The sequence below is a fragment of the Homo sapiens genome, chromosome Y (assembly GCF_000001405.40).
Source record: "Homo sapiens chromosome Y, GRCh38.p14 Primary Assembly".
In the NCBI taxonomy this organism is placed as follows: Eukaryota; Metazoa; Chordata; class Mammalia; order Primates; family Hominidae; genus Homo; species Homo sapiens.
Window position 1 is genome coordinate 2,977,352 of NC_000024.10, and position 19,729 is coordinate 2,997,080.

The following is a 19,729-nucleotide window of genomic DNA, read 5'->3' on the forward strand; positions in this document are numbered from 1 at the left end:
TCTTGGTTTATAGGTGACACATAACTTTACAATTTTTGGGAGATAGCAGGGAGTCCAGTAGAGCAGCATGCTGCTAGATACGGAAGCTAGGCACTTCCCCTGGTCTTGCCATATATATGCCCATAAAACACATGGTCTACAATTGGGGGCCAGGTGTGGCTCTTGCCTGTAATCCCAGCACTTTGGGAGTCTGAGGCAGGTGGATGACCTGAGGTCAGGAGTTCAAGATCAGCCTGGCCAATATGGTGAAACCTCCTCTCTACTAAAAATACAAAAAAATGAGATGGGTGTGATGGCGTTGTTCCTGTAATCCCAGCTATTCAGGATGCTGAGGCAGGATAATCACTTGAACCTGAGAGGAGGAGGTTGCAGTGAGCCAAGATTACACCTCTGTACTCCAGCCTGGGTGACAGAGCAAGACTCTGTCTCAAAAAAAAAAAAAAAAAAAAAAAAAAAAGAATAAAAATAAATAAAGTAAGGACTTTCTGTCATTCATGAGTGTCAGGACTTCTTGTTGTTAATAAAGAATTCGTAATTCTTTAGAATTTATAATGTTGTGTAATTCTGTGTTTTAATGCACATTGTTAGGTAATAATTCTGATGGAATTGAAAACCGGAATGGCACTGCAAGTGCCCTCTTGCACATAGATGAGTCTGCTGGCCTTGGCAGACTGGCTAAACAGAAACCAAAGAAAAAGAGAAGACCTGATTCCAGGCAGTACCAAACAGGTGAGTTCCACAGGGGTGTTATGATGGAGTTTTAGCTAGTAGGCCACATGTATTTTTATGTGTTGAATTTGAAAGAAAAAATTTCAAAATTCAGTGATATTCATGAATGGTTTTCTTGGATAAGAAGAAACAGTTGTGCATCAACCATTCAGGAAAAAGAATTAAAATCCTCTGGTGATTTTAGTGAAAAGGAAAATAAATTTCTAAAATGTTACCTAACTTTAAGTGAACGAAATTACATGGATCTACTTATACTAGCATAAAGCAGGTATAATTTACCGAGAAGTGGAAGAAGTACCTAGGTTATTTGTAGGACTGATTACTATCCTATGTTGTTTTGAATGCTGCTTTGCATATTAAAATTTATTTATAGGTGCAGTTAAGCTTTACTGTTTGCATATATTTGGCTTGGAGTCAGTCACCAAAGCAGAAATGCTGGACTTGATTTTTATGAGTTATTTGCTACACATTTCTAAATTCATGTTCTTTTGTCACTGCTTGATTGATTTTTTTTTTTTAACTGGAGGGGGTGAGATTGGTTCATACTTAACCAAACCAGTTCTCTCGATTAGGACATTATTATAACTCTTAACATTGAAAAGCAGTAAAAGGAATGTTAATAATTTAAAAGTATTTGCCCACTAATGTTCAGAACACAAGCTTTAAAAAATTCATGAGGAGACCAGAAGTTTGATTAAGCACTCATACTGCTTTCTTTTCCTTTCTTAGCAATAATTATTGGCCCTGATGGTCATCCTTTGACTGTCTATCCTTGCATGATTTGTGGGAAGAAGTTTAAGTCGAGGGGTTTTTTGAAAAGACACATGAAAAACCATCCTGAACACCTTGCCAAGAAGAAGTACCACTGTACTGACTGTGATTACACTACCAATAAGAAGATAAGTTTACATAACCACCTGGAGAGCCACAAGCTGACCAGCAAGGCAGAGAAGGCCATTGAATGTGATGAGTGTGGGAAGCATTTTTCTCATGCAGGGGCTTTGTTTACTCACAAAATGGTGCATAAGGAAAAAGGGGCCAACAAAATGCACAAGTGTAAATTCTGTGAATATGAGACAGCTGAACAGGGGTTATTGAATCGCCACCTCTTGGCAGTCCACAGCAAGAACTTTCCTCATATTTGTGTGGAGTGTGGTAAAGGTTTCCGACACCCGTCGGAACTGAGAAAGCACATGCGAATCCATACCGGCGAGAAGCCATACCAATGCCAGTACTGTGAATATAGGTCTGCAGACTCTTCTAACTTGAAAACACATATAAAAACAAAGCATAGTAAAGAGATGCCATTCAAGTGTGACATTTGTCTTCTGACTTTCTCAGATACCAAAGAAGTGCAGCAACATACTCTTGTCCACCAAGAAAGCAAAACACATCAGTGTTTGCATTGCGACCACAAGAGTTCAAACTCAAGTGATTTGAAACGACATGTAATTTCAGTTCATACGAAAGACTATCCTCATAAGTGTGAGATGTGCGAGAAAGGCTTTCACAGGCCTTCAGAACTTAAGAAACATGTGGCTGTCCACAAAGGTAAAAAAATGCACCAATGTAGACATTGTGACTTTAAGATTGCAGACCCATTTGTTCTAAGTCGCCATATTCTCTCAGTTCACACAAAGGATCTTCCATTTAGGTGTAAGAGATGTAGAAAGGGATTTAGGCAACAAAATGAGCTTAAAAAGCATATGAAGACACACAGTGGCAGGAAAGTATATCAGTGTGAGTACTGTGAGTATAGCACTACAGATGCCTCAGGCTTTAAACGGCACGTTATTTCCATTCATACAAAAGACTATCCTCATCGGTGTGAGTACTGCAAGAAAGGCTTCCGAAGACCTTCAGAAAAGAACCAGCACATAATGAGACACCATAAAGAAGTTGGTCTGCCCTAACAGTGTGTCTACAAGCTTGTAAAGATGTTGGCCTTGAAGCAGAAAATTCATTTTTTAAAGCCAGTCTTGTTCACATCCATTACTATACATTGAATTATGCTGTGTAAAAATAGAATTATTGCTTCTAGTCCACTTTTCTTTACATTTTATTCAATACGCTGTCCTGAATCCTATTCAGTTTCTTTAATAGATGAGGAAAAATAGCAACAAGCAAGTTGCTTATAATAAAATAATTTGTGATTCTATACTGAATTTTCAGTCATAAAAGCTTTACTATTTATTTACATATTTATTCATGTTCATGGTACTCTTCTAAGACAAAATCAGATTGATAACTATGAAAGTAACATTTTTGACCCATTTCCTCCTACACAAGTGTTTCACATTGGAGACATCTGCTAATATAAATGGGAGGTTTTACTGTCAAGTCCAATTAGCAAAACGTGGTAATAATTTTTTTGTCAGTATTTTCAGATTACATGATAAAATTTTACATTTGAGCTTCTAGCATTGATTAATATAGGATATTGACCACGTTTATGTTTAAATTTCATTTTGTTCAGCAGACAAAATGTACTTCCCTTAACTTTCATTAATAGTGTTTACATCTTTTGTCAGCACAGCAAACTTTTAGAAAGTAATAGTTTTACTTATTTTTATCTTCTGTTTTCTCTTTGTACTGCTTTGTCTTGCATTGTGTTCCAACACATGAGACTTACTGCTCACTGAATTTTGGAGTCTTTTAGAGGTAAATTGTGGACTCAGGATTTTTTGAAACTTGGTGTGTAACTCTAAATCTTGTATATGCATCTTTGTTGCTTATTACATATTTACACACACAACCACAAATTTTAAACTTATGATGAAAATTTACAATAACCTGAAAGATCCAGAGATGTATGAGAGCATTTTGTAACTTGTTATTCAGTTACTAAATTTGAGGTGAATAATTAAAAAGAAAAGGACATTAGGAGAGTGAAAATCTTCTCTTCAAATAATCTTTGATAGATAAAAATGGAAGGTAAGATGTTTCTAGATAGAATGTTTTCATACAATTTCAGCTTCATATCATAAATTTTTCTGGAAAGCTATTTCAGACATAGATTTCATAGTATTTTTCTGAGAATCCTGTGAAGGAACGCTGTCTCTTTGCAAAGTAAGGAGGACTAAGGGAAAATGATGGTACCATGTAACAGAATGAGAGCTAATTCCAAATTAGCAACTTCATCCTGCTTTCTATTTTACATTGAGTAAAGTTTTAAAAAGACAACAGTCAAGTTGATTTTGATTAGAAGATAAAAGTACATAATGAAAATCCATGGCCTTATTTGGAATATATATCACTTTCCAAATTTTATTATTTATTTGAGAGTTAATAAGTTAATGTTATTAAGCAGTTAATAATTTATATGTATGGATATAATATAAAATGAATTCATATAATTAAAAAGAATTTGGTTAATAAGAATTTGGAGAATGGAAAATACATTTTTAGGTTCCTTAATTTGGCTGTTGGTACCTGTGTATTTGGAATATTTTAGGGGATTCGAATTTTTTTTAACCCACATTACAGCTACCTTCTAGCTTTAGTATGGTAGTGCTTCATTCAACTTTTGCTGTCAGGTTTTTATTTTCACCTTTTTCTGTGCCACCAATTCAAAAGTTATAGGATTAGGAAATATAAATTTATATTTGGTGATTGGCAGCCTCTGAAATGTTAGATTAATTTGATCTAGTTCTAAAGTGCTTTAGTCATATATGAATTTAAACCTAGTACCATCCAAAACCATGTAATGGATTTTAAGAATCTGTTAGGCCTTCTTAGCCTTTATACATGTCCCTACCTGATTTTTACTGTCCTTCATGATCCTGTTCTTGAAAACTTCAGTTTGTATTTGAGAATCCTTTAAATCTCCTTCCAATTTGTTTTCTCCCTGAAGTAATATAAAAGGAAGTATTTAAGTGAAAGTTTAAGAGTTTTAAAACATTCTTTAAAATTAATACAGATAGTTAGCTATTTATCTTTTAAAAATAAACTAAGGTAAAAAACGTGACACTTTACATATTTCATATTTTTCATATAGTCTGGAGGTATACACAGTTGTTTTGTTTTTAACCACGGTATTGAAACCTTTAAAAGGTAATTAAGCATTTGGTCAAGTAAATATAGAACATTTGTATAAAGAAAGAAATGAAATTGTGCTTAATGTTATATACTGTTATTATTTGCAGGCTGGTTTTAATTCTTAATTTGATTAGCAAAGCTAAAAAAGTGGATGTTGAAGTTGAAAGTTTTAAAGAGGTACAAAATCTTACAAGGACATAAATTATTATTTGGTTGAAAAATAGCCTATTAGATATTGTATGTCCCTTCCTCTGTACAAATTGTAAAATACTTAAAATAACTATGAAGAATTCATATAGGAAGTGTGATACTATTGTAAATGTGTATTTGAGAATATGCAAAAATAAAAATAATATTTTACTGTTAATAAATGTTTACTTGTATATGATACCAATACTAAGTTAACTCTTTCTTTAAAACACGCAGTTTTAAGTCTTAATAAACATAAAACATAGTGGACTATTTTTATTTCCCCACTTAGTTCATTCTGTACATCAGTGGAATACAAAATGCTTTTTATGTAAATATTGGTAACCTTATGAATTTACAAGTAGTATTTCAGAGTACTTGCGCTAGTTGATGAGGCCTTTGCTTAATGTGTTCTTGAAAGTCAATTTTTTGTTTTATCTTAATGAAAGATGGTTTGGTTAGCATCTGCACTTGCTGAAATAAATTTTCCTTGCATAAAGCTTTTTTTTCTTTTTTTTTTTTTGGTTTTTGTTTTTGTTTTAACAACAAAGTCTCACTCATTTGCCCAGGCTCAAGTACAGTGGTGTGTGATCTCAGCTCACTGCAGCCTTCAACTCCTGGGCTCAAGCGATCCTCCTGCCTCAGCCTACGCAGTAGTTGGGACTATGGGCATGTACTGTCATGCCTGGCTAATTTTTTATTTTTTATAGAGATGGGGTTGGGTCTCATCATGTTGCGCAGGGTGGTCTCAAACCCCTGGGCTCAAGGAGTCCTCCCGCCTCAGTGTCCCAAAATGGTGCTATTACAGGCATAAACCACTGCACCAGCCCTTAAGTGGTTTTTGAGGGCACTAAGTCCATAGCAGAAGAACCTGCACTAGTTACACATTTGTGTGTCACCTCTTTGTATTCAGTTTGGAGATCTTTAGTGCACACATAATACTGTGGGATGGGTATTATGACAAAAATTAGAAGCTTGGTAGAAGTTAACCAGGAGTCAAACAGATTACAACAAAGAAGACTGAGACTCATAAATTTTTGTAGAGGTAAAATTCACATGATAAAAGTCACTATCTTAAAATGTGTTAAGTGGCATTTAGCACATTCATATGTTACATTTCCATCACCTCTCTTTAGTTGCAAAACACCTTTTGTAAAGATTCTGCAGTTCTTCAACTCTAGGAATGTGTTTGTCTAATTGTTCAAACAGTAAATAATTAAAGCCATTAAAATGTTAAAAAAATATGGTGAATGTCACTGGCCAGAGTTGTAAGCCAGATAAGATCATGAATAACTTAGTTGTCTTAGAAAATCTAAATAAACATACCCAATCAGGCCTGTGATTTCATCTAAGATAATTTACTGACTGGTTTTCTGGCAATGTCAATGTCAATTTGATTTTTTTTTAAATTTTTATTATTTTTTAACTTCTCAGGAATTCTAGGGTTTTTGTAAAGAAAAGCGTTAAGCATTATGACCAATATCTTAAAGGTATGATATTTCGGAGCACTGGTTTTTGAGGCTGGGCCAGGTCAGCATCAGCATTACTTGAATCTTGTTAGATATATAAAATCTTGGGCTCATCCTAGACCTACTACATAAAAAAATTGTGCATAGGCACCAGCAGTCAGTTGGTTTCATTGTGAAAAAAAAAAATACAATTTCCCATTTAAACCATTTTAAGTGTATATGATTAGTAGTACTAAGAATATTTACATTGTTGTGAATGTTTCTTAACTTTCATATTTGAAACTCAACGTCCGTTAAACAACTTTCCTTTCTCCACTGATGCCCAGGCCCTGGTAATGTTTCTATGAATTTGACTACTTTATTAGAATCATACAGCATTTTTTTTGTGACTGGCTTATTTCACTTAGCAGCCTTGCCTCCTTAATTTTAGAGAAAAGTTTTCAGCCTTTCACCATCAAATAAGGTGTTACCTGTGGGCTTTTAAAAATAATTGCTGGCTGGGAGTGGTGGCTCACACCTGTAATCCCAGCACTTTGGGAGGCTGAGGCGGGTAGATCACCTGAGGTCAGCAGTTCGAAACCAGCCTGGCCAACATGGTGAAAACCCGTCTCTACTAAAAATACAAAAACAACTGGGTGTGGTGGCAGGTGCTTGTAACTCCAGCTAGTCGGGAGGCCGAGGCAGAAGAATTGCTTGAACCCAGGGAGCAGAGGTTGCAGTGAGCCAAGATTGTGCCACTTCCCTCCAGCCTGGGTGAAAGAGGGAGACTCCGTCTCAAGAATAAGTAAAATTGCCCCGGGTAGTCATGGTGGCTCATACCTATAATCCTAGCACTCTTAAGAGGCTGAGACAGGTGGTTGGCTTGAAGTCAGGAATTTGAGACTAGCCTGCCCAACATAATGAAACTATGTCTCTACTAAAAATACAAAAATTAGCTGGGCGTTCTGGCACATGTCTGTAAATCCCAGCTGCTCAAGAGGCTGAAGCATGAGAATGACTTGAACCTGGGAGGAGGAGGTTTGCAGTAAGGTGAGGTCGCACCGCTGCACTCCAGCCTGGGTGACAGAGCAAGACTCCATCTCAAAATAAATAAATAAATAAATAAATAAAAATAATTGCCATCATTATGTTGAGGGTTCTCCCTTCTTCCCTAAGTGTATTTTATAATGAAAAGGTGTGGAATCTTGTCACATGCTTTTTTTATGTAAATTGAAATTAGCCTTTGTCCTTTATTTTTGTTAACATGATGTATTAAAAGGTTTTGCTGAACCATTCTTAAAATCCAGTGAAATCTTACTGGTAATGGTATATAATTGTTTTTGTTTTTGTTTTTGTTTTGAGACTGATTTTTTTCTGTGTTGCCCAGGCTGGAGTGCAATGGCGTGATCTTAGCTCACTGCAACCTCCACCTCCTGGGTTGAAGAGATTGTCCTGCCTTACTCAGCCTCCCGAGTAGCTGGGATTACAGACATCTGCTACCACTCCCAGCTAATTTTTGTATTTTTAATAGAGATAAGGTTTCACTATGTTGTCCAGGCTGGCGTTGAACTCTTGACTTCAGGTGATCCATCTGCCTCGGCCTCCCAAAGTGCTAGGATTACAGGTGTGAGCCACTGCACCTGGCTTATGTAATTGTTTATTTTTTTATTTTTTGGAGATGGAGTCTTGCTCTGCTGCCCAGGCTGGAGTGCAATGGTGTGATCTTGGCTCACTGCAACCTCCACCTCCCAAGGTCAAGTGATTCCCCTGACTCAGCCTCTCAAGTAGCTGGGATTACTGGCGCATGCCACTGCACCTGGGCTACCACATGTGGCTAATTTTTGTGTTTTTAGTGGAGGCAGGGTTTTACCACGTTGGCCAGGCTGGTCTCGAACTCCTGACCTGAAGTGATCCACCCACCTTGGCCTCCAAAATGCTGGGATTACAGGCTTGAGCCACCACGCCCAGTCTATAATCCTTATAATGTGCTGTTAAATTCAACCTGCTTGTATTTTACTGAGAAGTTTTGCATAGATTTTTGTTAGTGATACTGGTCTGTGATTTTCTTTTTGTCTTTATGTGTTTAAAAAAAATTTTTTTTTGGACACAGGGTCTTGCTCTGTTGCCCAGGCTGTAGTGCAGTGGTGTGATTGCAGCTGACTGTAACCTTGAACCCCTGGGTTCAACTATCCTGCCATCTGAATAGCTAGGACTGCCAGTGCTCACTATCATGCCTAACTAACTTTTTACAATTTTTTTGTAGAGACAGGGTTTCCCTAAGTTGCCCAGACTTGTCACAAACTTCTGGACTCAAGCAATCCCCATCTTAATCTCCCAAGATGCTGAGAATATAGGCATAAGCCACCATACCTAGCCTTGTTTATGTCTTTATCTGGTTTTGATAGCAATGTAATACTGGCATCTTTATATGAATTTCAGAGTGCTTCCTCCTTTAGGATTATTGTTAATTTCTTTTTATTTTTTAAAAAATTCATTTTTATCTTAGATTCAGGTGTATTTGTACAGGTTTGCTATAAGGGTGTATGTGTAGTGTTGAGGTTTGGGCTTCTACTGATCCCATCAGCCACAAAGTGAAGATAGTACCCAATAGGAAGTTTCTCAGCCCTTGCCCCACTCCTTTACTCCCTTCTTTTGGAGACCTCAGTATGTGTTGCTTCTATCTTTATGGTCATATTAACCTATGATTTAGTTCCCACTATAAGTCGGAACATGTGACATTTGGTTTTCTGTTTCTGCATTAGTTTCCTTATGATAATGGCCTCTAGCTGCAACCATGTTGCCACAAGGACATGATTTCATTCTTTATTGTGGCTGCATAAAATTATTTTTAAATGTTTGATAGAATTCTCCAGTGAAGCCATCTCACTGTGGGCTGTTCTTTGTTCAGATTTTTATTTCTGATTCAATCTTACTAGTTACTGGTTTGTTCAGATTTTCTATTTCTTTCTATTTACTCGTGGTAGGTTGTGTGTTTCTAGCAATGTATTTTTTTTTTTAAAGACAGAATCTCACTCTGCCACCCAGGCTGGAGTACAGTGGCACTATGTCTGCTTACTGCAACCTCTGGCTCCGGGACTCAAGCAATTCTTCTACCTCAGCCTCCCGAGTAACTGGGATTACAGGTGTGCGTCACCACCCCTGAGTAATTTTTTTGTATTTTTAGTAGAGATGGGGTTTCACCATGTTGGCCACGCTGGTCTCAAACTGACCTCAGGTGATACCTGCTTTGGCCTCCCAAAGTGCTGGGATTCCAGGCATGAGCCACCACACCCAGCCTATTCCTTCTGATTTATCCAATTCCTTGGTGTAATTTCTATTCATTGTATTCTCTTTACTCCTTTTCATTTCTGTGGCATCACTTGAATTACCCTTCTTTCATTTGTAACTTCAGTTATTTGAGTCTTTTTCTTAATGTAGGCAAAATTTGCCAATGTTATTCATCTTTTCAAAAAATGAATTCAGTTTTGTTGATTTTTCTACGGTTAAGCTTTTTTTTTTTTTTTTAAATGGAGTCTCGCTCTGTCAACCAGGCTGGAGTGCAGTGGTGTGATCTTGGCTCACTGCAAGCTCTGCCTCCTAAGTTCACACCATTCTCCTGCCTAAACCTCTCCAGTAGGGGGACTACAGGTGCCCGCCACCACGCTGGCTAATTTTTTTTTTTTTTTTGTATTTTTAAAATATTTTTAGTAGAGACAGGGTTTCACCATGTTAGCCAGGATTGTCTCGATCTCCTGACCTCATGATCCGCCTGCCTCGGCCTCCCAAAGTGCTGAGATTACAGGCATGAGCCATCGCACCCAGTCCCTTATTTTTAAATAATGTATAAGAGTTATACATATTTTGGAGTACATGTGATATTGTTTGTACATATTTTGGAGTACATGTGATATTGTTAGGTAGTTGGTTTGAGGTCTTTCTTCTTTTCTGATAGATGTATTTACAGCTGTAAATTTACCTCTCTGCAACTACTTTGATTGTATCTCATGTTGTGTGTCCCAGATATTGTGCTTTCATTTTAGTGTGTGTCAAGGTAATTTTTCTTGTAACTTCTTTAGCTTCATTGGTTGTGTGGTTTTGTTTTTGACACTGGCTTTTGCTCTGTTGTCTAGGCTGGCCTTCAGCTCCAGGGCTTGAGAACTCTTACTTCCAACTCAGCCTCCCAAGTAGCTGGGACTACAAGTGAGTGCTATTGTGCCAGGCTTTCCATTGGTTAACAGTTTGTTGCTTGGTTTCCACACATTTGTGAATTTTCCAGTTTTCCCATTGCTCTTGATTTTTAGTGCATCATATTGTGCTCAGAAAACACACTTTGTATAATTTGCTTTTAAAATTTGTTAAACTTGTTTTGTGACCAAATATATGGTCTATTCTAGAGAATGTTCAATGTGCACTTTAGAATACTGTATATTCTGCTGTGGTTGTGTGGCATGTTCTCTATATATCTGGTATGTCCAATTGGTGTACAGCATTTTACCAGTCCTGTTTCCCCATTGATTTTCTATTTGATTTTTCTACCCATTATTGAAAGTGGTCTAATGATGCCTCCTATATTATTGTCTTTGTTTCTTGTTTTTATTTCTGTCAACATTTGTATCACATAGTTAAGAGCTCTGATATTTAGTGCAGATATATTTATAATTGTTATATCTTCTTTTAATTTTTATTTTAAGTTCATGTGCAGGTTTATCACATAGGTACACTTGTTTCATGGGGGGTTTGTTGTACAGATTATTTCATCACCCAGGCATTAAGTTGAGTACCTATTACTTGTTTTTCCTGATCCTTTCCCCGCTCCCATCCTCCATCGCTCTGATAGGCCCCAGTATGTATTGTTCTCCTCTATGTGCCCATGTGCTCTCATCATTTAGCTCCCACTTATAAGTGAGGACATGCAGTATTTAGTTTTCTGTTCCTATATTAGTTAGCTAAGTATGATGGCCTCCAGCTCCATCCATGATCCTGTTCTTTTTTTTTTTTTTTTTTTTTTTTGAGACAGAGTCTCACTCTGTTGCCCAGGCTGGAGTGCAGTGGCACCATCTCAGCTCACCACAACCTCCGCCTCCTGGGTTCAGGCGATTCTCCTGGCTCAGTCTCCCAAGTAGCTGGGACTACAGGTGCATACAATCATGCCTGGCTAATTTTTGTATTTTTAGTAGAGACGGGGTTTTACCATGTTGTCCCGGCTGGTCTTGAACTCCTGACCTTGTGATCCACCCACCTTGGCCTCCCAAAGTGCTGGGATTATAGGCATGAGCCACTGAGGCCAGCCTGATCCTGTTCTTTTTATATGGCTGCATAGTATTCCATGGTGTATATGTACCACATTTTCTTTATTCAGTCTACTATTGGTGGACATTTAGGTTGATTCCATGTGTTTGCTCTTGTGAAAAGTGCTGCAATGAACATACACATGCATGTGTCTTTATGATAGAAGGATTTATAATTCTTTGGGTATATACCCAGTAATGAGATTGCTGGGTTGAATGGTAGTTCTACTTTTCCTTTTATGAGGAATCACCACACTGTTTTCCACAATGGCTGACTTAATTTACACTCACACCAACAGTGTATGGGCCTGTCATTTTCTCCACAACCTTCCCAACATCTGTTGACTTCTTAATCATAGCCATTCTGACTGGTGTGACTGGTTTCTCACTGTGGTTTTGATTTGCATTTCTCTAATGATTAGTGATGTTGAGCTTTTTCTCACATGTTTGTTGGCTGAATGTATGTCTTCTTTAGAAAAACATCTGTTCATGTCCTTTGCTTATTTTATTTTATTTTTTTTTTGAGACAGAGTCTTGCTCTGTCGCCCAGGCTGGAGTGCAGTAGCGCTATCTCAGTTCACTGCAAGTTCCACCTCCTGGGTTCACGCCATTCTCCTGCCTCAGCCTCCTGAGTAGCTGGGACTACAGGTGCCCGTCACCATGCCTGGCTAATTTTTTCGTATTTTTAGTAGAGACGGGGTTTCACCATGTTAGTCAGGATGGTTTTGATCTCCTGACCTCATGATCCACCCACCTCAGCCTCCCAAAGTGCTGGGATTACAGGCATGAGCCACCACGCCCGACCCTTTGCTTACTTTTTAATAGGGTTGTTTTCTTGTTTTAAGTTCCTTATAGAGCTGGATATTACACCTTTGTCAGATATATAGTTTGCAAAAATTTTCTCCCATTCTGTAGGTTGTCTGTTTACTTAATTGACAGTTTCTTTTGCCGTGAAGAAACTATTTAATTAGATCCCATTTGTCAATTTTTGGTTTTGCTGCATTTGCTTTTGATGTCTTTTTCATGAAATCTTTGCCCATTCCTATGTCCAGAATGGTATTGCCTAGGCTGTCTTCCAGGGTTTTTACAGTTTTGGGTTTTATATGTAAACCTTTAATTCATCTTGACTTGAGTTTTGTGTATGGTGTAAAGAAAGAGTTTCCATCTGTATGGCTAATCAGTTGTCCCAGCACCATTTATTGAATAGGGAGTACTTTTCCCATTCCTTGTTTTTGTCAGCTTTGTTGAAGATGAGATAGTTGTAGGTGTGTGGCCTTATTTCTGGGATATCTGTTCTGCTCCATTGATCTATGTGTCTGTTTTTATAGAATTACCATGCTGTTTTAGTTACTGTAGCCCTGTAGTATAGTTTGAAGTCAGGTAATGTGATGCCTCCAGCTTTGTTCTTTTTGCTTAGGATTGCCTTGGCTATTCAGGCTCTCTTGTGGTTTCATATGAGTTTTAAAATATTTTTTTCAAGTCTGTGAAGAATGTCATTGGTAGTTTGATAGGAATAGCATTGAATCTATAAATTGCTTTGGACATTATGGCCATTTTAACAATATTCATCTTTATCCATGAGCATGGATTGTTCTTCCATTTATGTAATCTCTGATTTCTTTGAGCACTGGTTTGTAGTTATCCTTGTAGAGATCTTTCACCTCCATGATTAGCTGTATTCCTAGGTATTTCATTCTTTTCATGGCAGTTGTGAATGGAATCATGTTCCTGATTTGGATGTTGGCCTGACTGTTGTTGGTGTATAGGAATGCTAGCAGTTTCTATATGTTGACCCTGTATCCTAAGATTTTGCTGAAGCTGTTTATCAGCTTTTGGGCCAAGACTATGAGGTTTTCTAGATTTAGGATTATGTTGTCTGCAAACAGGGATAGTTTGACTTCCTCTCTTTCTATCTGGAGTCCCTTTATTTCTTTCTCTTGCCCGACTGCCCTGGCCAGAACTTCCAATACTATGTTGAATAAGAGTGATGAGAGAGAGCCTCCTTGTCTTGTGCCAGTTTTCAAGAGAAATGCCTTCAGCTTTTGTCCATTCAGTATGACGTTGGCTGTGGGTTAGTCATAGATGGCTCTTGTTATTTTGGGTTGTGTTTCTTTAATACCTAGTTTATTAGGAGCTTTTATCGTGAAGCAGTGTTGAATTTTATAGCAGCCTTTTCTGCATCTATTGAGATGATCTTGTAGTTTTGGTCTCTAGTTCTGTTTATGGGATAATTTACATTTTTTTATTTGTATTTGTTGAACCAAACTTGCATCCCAGAAGATAAACTCTACTTGATTATAGTTGATTAATTAGCTTTTTTATCTAATGCTGGATTCAGTTTGCCAGTATTTTGTTAAGGATTTTTCCATTGACGTTCATCAAGGATATTAGCCTGAAATTTTTTTTGTTAGTTGTGTCTCTGCCAGGTTTTGGTATCAGGATGATGATGGCTTCATAGAATGAGCTAGGGAGGATTCCCTCTTCCTCAATTTTTTGGGACTAGTTTCAGCAGGAATGGTACCAGCTCTTTCTTACATCCACTAGAATTCAGCTGTGAATCCATCTTATCCTGGGCTTTTGTTTTGGTTGATGGTTATTTATTACTGATTCAATTTTGAAATTTTAAAATATTTTCTTGTTGAATTGACCCTTTTATTATTATATAACATTTTTTGCCTCTTTGAATAGTTTTTTGCATGAAGTCTATTTTATCTGTTATTGTAGTCATTCCTGCTCTTTTTGGTTACTATTGCCTGAATTATCTTTTTTCATCATTTCACCTTCAGTATGTATGTCATTAGATCTAAGATAGATGACATATAGTTGGATTGTGTTTTCTTTTGTTGTTTTATAGCCAGTCATTAATAGTCTCCAATGTTACAATGTTATTTTCTTTCTTCTTCTTTTTTTTTTTTTTTTGAGACAGAGTCTCTCTTTCTTTTTTTTTTTTTTGAGATGGAGTCTTGCTCTATCACCCCACCTTGAGTGCAGTGGCACAATCTCAGCTCACTGTAATGTCCTACTCCTGGGTTCAAGTGATTCTTGTGCCTCAGCCTCCTGAGGGGCTGGGATTACAGTTGTGTGCCACCACACCCAGCTAATTTTTATATTTTTAGTAGAGATTGGGTTTTGCTACTTTGGCCAGGCTAGTCTCCTGGCCTCAAATGATCCATCAGCCTCAACCTCCTAAAGTGCTAGGATTACAGGCCTGAGCCCCTGCACATGGACACTCCAATGTTATTTTTAGATTTCAATCTATTTACATTTAAATTAGATTATAATAGGGGAAGGACTTACTATTGCCATTTTGTTAATTATTTTCTGTTTAGCTTTTTTGTTCCTGCTTACGTCTTAGTGCCTTCCTTTGTGTTTAGTTTTTTTTTTTTTTTTTTGGTAGTGATTCCTTGCTAATTTCTTTTGTGTATATTCTGGATATATTATGTTTACAATATTATCATTGCAATTAAATATCTTAAAGTTTATAACATTCTATTTTAAATTGATATAACTTAACTTCAATCACATATATGTGCCTCTTTAGCTGTAACCTCCATACTTGGTTATGTTTATTCATTAGCATAAATTTATCCTTACTTTTTCTTTTTTTATTTAAGAATTATGTGGGAAACTTTTATTTTTTACTCATTTTTGAAGGATAGTTTGCCAGTACAGTTTATTTGGTTGGCAGTTTTAAAATGTCAGCACTTTAAATGTATCATCACACTGCCTTCTGGCCTGCAATGTTTCTGTTGAGAAATTACTGATAATCTGATAACTCTTCTTGATTTTACTTGGCATGGGTGCTGTAGTTTCTCAGCTGATCTTGAGAGCTCTCATAAAGATATTCTGGTCTGCAGTTTATTCTTAACTTGGTGTCTCAGTGGTGGAATGAGGGCCTGGAGAGTTCTAGTATACCATCTTATGGACATCATTCTTTGCTGTTACTTGAGATTTTAGGCAGGCATAATTCATTTGCCAATATTTTTCCTACCAATAAGCCCAGCGATCTGATTTAATAAGTCCTTAAAGTTAAGGACTTTATTCTGATGCACTCTCAAGTTTGTGAATCTTTGCTAAAGAGCGCTTGAAGGAAGTTACAAAATAATTATGCAACGTATTGTGTTTTATGTGAAAAATTATAGAACTAAACCAAACCAGAAACTCACAGGTCGGATGTGGTGGCTCATGCCGGTAATCCCAGCACTTTGGGAGGCCAAGGTGGGCAGATCACCTGAGGTCGGGAGTTTGAGATCAGCCTGGCCAACATAGTGAAACCCTGTCTCTATTAAAAATACAAAAAAGTAGCCAGGTATGGTGATGTGCACCTGTAGTCCCAGCTACTCCAGAGGCTGAGGCAGGAGAATCCCTTGAAACCAGGAGGTGGAGGTTGCAGTGAGTGGAGATTGAGCCACTGCACTCCAGCCTTGGCCACAAAGTGAGACTGTATCTCAAAAAAAAAAAAAAAAAAAAAAAAAGCAGTGCAGGTAAAGCAGGGCCTAAATAGTTCATATTTATACATTTATGTATAGTTCATATTCATACTTTTATGTAAGCTTTTTACAGGGCAAGTTTTCATTCAATAAGTATACTTTTTAATGCACATGTAAATAATGTGCATTTCATAAATCTTGTATGGTCTCCCATGAGTTAAATTCTTCAAAGGTAAATAAAATTCAGAAGCAGAGTCAGCAAGCAAAACTCAAAAGGCTGGAAAAGATGTGGCGTGAGTAACTGCATGAGTATTTTGTTTTTTAAAATTAACTGCCCCAGGGGTAGTTAATGTAAATCATGTTAGAAATACAGTTTTTCCATACTCAGTAGCTATTAGGTAGTCAAAATTAAGTTGGCCTCATGGATTTTGTTTTATTATACATATATTTTTGCTCATAAAATTTTGTTTAATATATTATTCCTGTTTTGTTTTGATATCTGCTTTTATTTCTAAATAAATTTCTACCTTATTTTAAGGTACGTGTTTGAATATTGGTAGACAACAGATGACATGACATGTATATATATGTTTCTGTGTATGTATGTCCATATATATATGTTTGGGGATTCATGTATTCATGCATGGATATACACAAGAAATACATACAGACAAAAGCTGCTTAATCCCCAATATACTACCAGCTGGAAATGTTGCAGCTCTTTGAGTAGCTTGGCATTTCTGCTACCAGTGAAGTATTATCACTGTTGCCTGGAGGTATGACATCTATACCTACTCAGATTTTAAAACCATTTTTGTATCCTATGAGGTTGAAATACTTTGTAAATTATTGAAGTTTGAGGTCACAGGCTGGAGTACAGTGGAGTGATCACAGCTCACTGTAGCCTTGACCTCCCAGGTTCAAGAGATCCTCTCACCTCAGCCTAGCTGCTTATGTTGGCTAATTTATTATTATTTTTAAGAATTTTTTTGTAGAAATGGGGGTCTCACTATGTTTCTCAGGCTGGTCTCAAGCTATCCTCCTGCCTCTGCCTTGCAAAGTGGTGGGATTACAGATGTGAGCCACCACAAAAGCTGTTTTTCTTTATTTTTATTTATTTTTTCCTGTCAACTGAAAGTCAGCTTATGGTAAATACATAGGTTTTTATTCTGTTCCCTTGGTCAGTGTGTCTGTTTATATGCTGTGTCATGCTGCTTTGATTAATATAGTTTGTAATATATTTTGGGTTCTTTTTTTGGTGTTTTCTCATTAAACTTTGTTTTAATGGTTCTCAAAATGCTGTGACAGATTTTTATTCAAGTTGTTTCAATTAAATAGTACTGGTTTTTAAACCCAGTAACTGAAAACTGCCATATGCAAAAAAAAAAAAAAAAAATTCAGTGACGAACAAACAACACTCTCCCTACCAGTGACCCATAATACACTCTACTTTCCTTCTCAAGTTTTATGATGCATTATTTTCATTAATGATTCTTTCATTATTAAACTTAAATGGCCAATTGAAACAAACAGTTCTGAGACTATTCTTCCACCACTGATTAAAACTGGGGTAGCAGGTATTAAGGATAACATTCATTTAGCCTTCTGAGACTTTTGGGAAGAACTGAGGACCTTGCCAGCTCCAGCAGCCCTCTTGTCCACTGCTTTGATGATATACACATCAACTGTCTGTCTCATATCATGAACAGCAAAATGACCCAGAGGATAGTTAGAATAAGTCCACATTCACAGGGGCTTGTCAGGAACCCTATCAAGAATGGCAGCATCGCCAGACTTCAATATATATAAGATCATATCATCAGTGAATAGAGATAGTTTCACTTATTTCTTTCCAATTTAGATGACATTTATTTATTTTTACCTGATTGCTCTGGCTATCACTTCCCGTACTGTAGTGAATAAGAGTGGTGAGAGTAGACGTCCTTGTCTCATTCCTGATCTTTGGGGAAAAGCTTCTGAGTATAATGTGGCTGCAAGTTAGTAATATATATGGCCTTTATTGTGTTGAGTTACATTCCTAATTTGTTGAGATTTTTATTATAAAAAGATGTGGAATTTTGTCAAAGCCTGTCTGCATCTATTGAGATGATCATATGGTTTTGTCCTTCATTCTGTTAATGTTATATATTGCATATATTCATGTGTATATATTAAACCATTCTTGCATCCCAGGGATAAATCTCAATTGATCATGGCAAATGTTCTTTTAACATGCTGTCTTTTAGTCTGCTAGCATTTGTTTGAGACAGTTTGCATCTATGTTTATCAGGAATATTGGCCTATATTTTCTTTCCTTGTGATATTCTTGTTTGGCTTGGGTTTAGGGTAATTCTAGCCTTAGAAAATAAGTTTGGAAGTATTGCATCTCCTTTAACTTTCTGGACGGGGTTGGCAAGGGATTGGCATTAGTTTTTCTTAAATTATGTGGTAGAATTCACCCAGAAGCCATCAAATCTTGGGATTTGCTTTGATGAAAGACTTTCTTGTTTTTTGAGACAGGGTCTTGCTCTGTCACCCACATTGGAGTGAAGTGGTGAGATCACTGCTCACCACAACCTTGATCATGGGAAAGTGTTTATTACTGATTCAGTTTCCTTACTAATAATTTGGTTTGTTCATTTTTTATTTCTTCATGTTCACCTTTGATAGGTTTTATATTTCTATGAATTTATTCATTTCTTCTATGTTACCTCATTGTTTGGTATAAAATTTTTGGTTTGTAATAGTTTCATAATCTTTGTACCTTTGTGATATAAGATGTAATGTCCCCTCTTATTTCTGGTTTTATTTATTTTAGTCTTCTTTCATTTTTTTCTTAGTGTAAAGATTTATCAAATTTGCTTATTTTTCACTAAGTTAAATCTCAGTTTTGTTAATCTTTTAAAATGTTTTTCTAGTCCTATTTTATTTCTTTTCTCATCTTTCTGCTCTTCTGCTAACTTTTGGCTTAGATTGTTCTTTTCTAATTTCTTGAGGTAAAACAGTAGGTTCTTATTTGAGATCTTCCTTCTTTTATGATGCAGGTTATCCTTCCTTACACATGATCTAACAATTCCAGTTCTGGGTATTTATCCAAGGAAATTGAAATCAGCATGTGGAAGAGTTATCTGCACTTCCATGTTCACTGCAGTCATTATTCATAATAGCCAAGATATAAAATCAACTTAAATGTCCATTAACAAATAAAGGAATACAGAAAATGTGGTGTATCTACACAAGGAAATACGATTAAGCCTTTAACAAAAGGAACTTCTGGCATTTGTGACAGCATAAATAAACCTACTAGCTATTATATTAAGAGAAATAAGGTAGGTACAGAAAGACAAATACTGCATATATTCACTTATATGTGGAAATATTAAAAATTGAACTTATCAAAGCAGAGAATATAATGGCCTTGGGGTAGGAGCATATAGGCAATGGGCAGACATTGGTCAAGGGCACAAAGTATTACTTAGATAAGAGAAATAAGTAATACATTTTATACTATGATAACTGTAGTTAATAATAATGTATACCTTAAAATTGCTAAAAGTAGGTTTTAAATGTTCTCATAAAAAGAGTAAGTGTGTGAGGTAATGGATAT

General features: G+C 36.5%; 1 protein-coding gene, 1 long non-coding RNA gene and 1 pseudogene across 15 annotated transcripts in view; 1 reads left to right on the forward strand and 2 right to left on the reverse strand.

The window, feature by feature from the left end:
* ZFY (zinc finger protein Y-linked) overlaps nucleotides 1-5,155 on the forward strand; it is a 47,126-nt gene extending 41,971 nt beyond the window's left edge. For all 14 annotated transcript variants that reach the window (NM_003411.4, NM_001369706.1, NM_001369703.1 and 11 more), the window contains 2 exons: nucleotides 589-729; nucleotides 1,459-5,155. In NM_003411.4, the coding sequence (NP_003402.2) occupies nucleotides 589-729; nucleotides 1,459-2,642 (1,325 nt within the window). In that variant the 3' untranslated portion in view covers nucleotides 2,643-5,155. The remainder of the gene's footprint in view (nucleotides 1-588; nucleotides 730-1,458) is intronic.
* ZFY-AS1 (ZFY antisense RNA 1) overlaps nucleotides 1-19,729 on the reverse strand; it is a 35,808-nt gene that overhangs the window by 10,533 nt on the left and 5,546 nt on the right. Inside the window, exon 2 of the long non-coding RNA NR_144458.1 lies at nucleotides 4,487-4,576. This is a non-coding gene — a long non-coding RNA (ZFY antisense RNA 1). The remainder of the gene's footprint in view (nucleotides 1-4,486; nucleotides 4,577-19,729) is intronic.
* On the reverse strand, nucleotides 17,551-17,924 carry EEF1A1P41 (eukaryotic translation elongation factor 1 alpha 1 pseudogene 41; annotated as a pseudogene).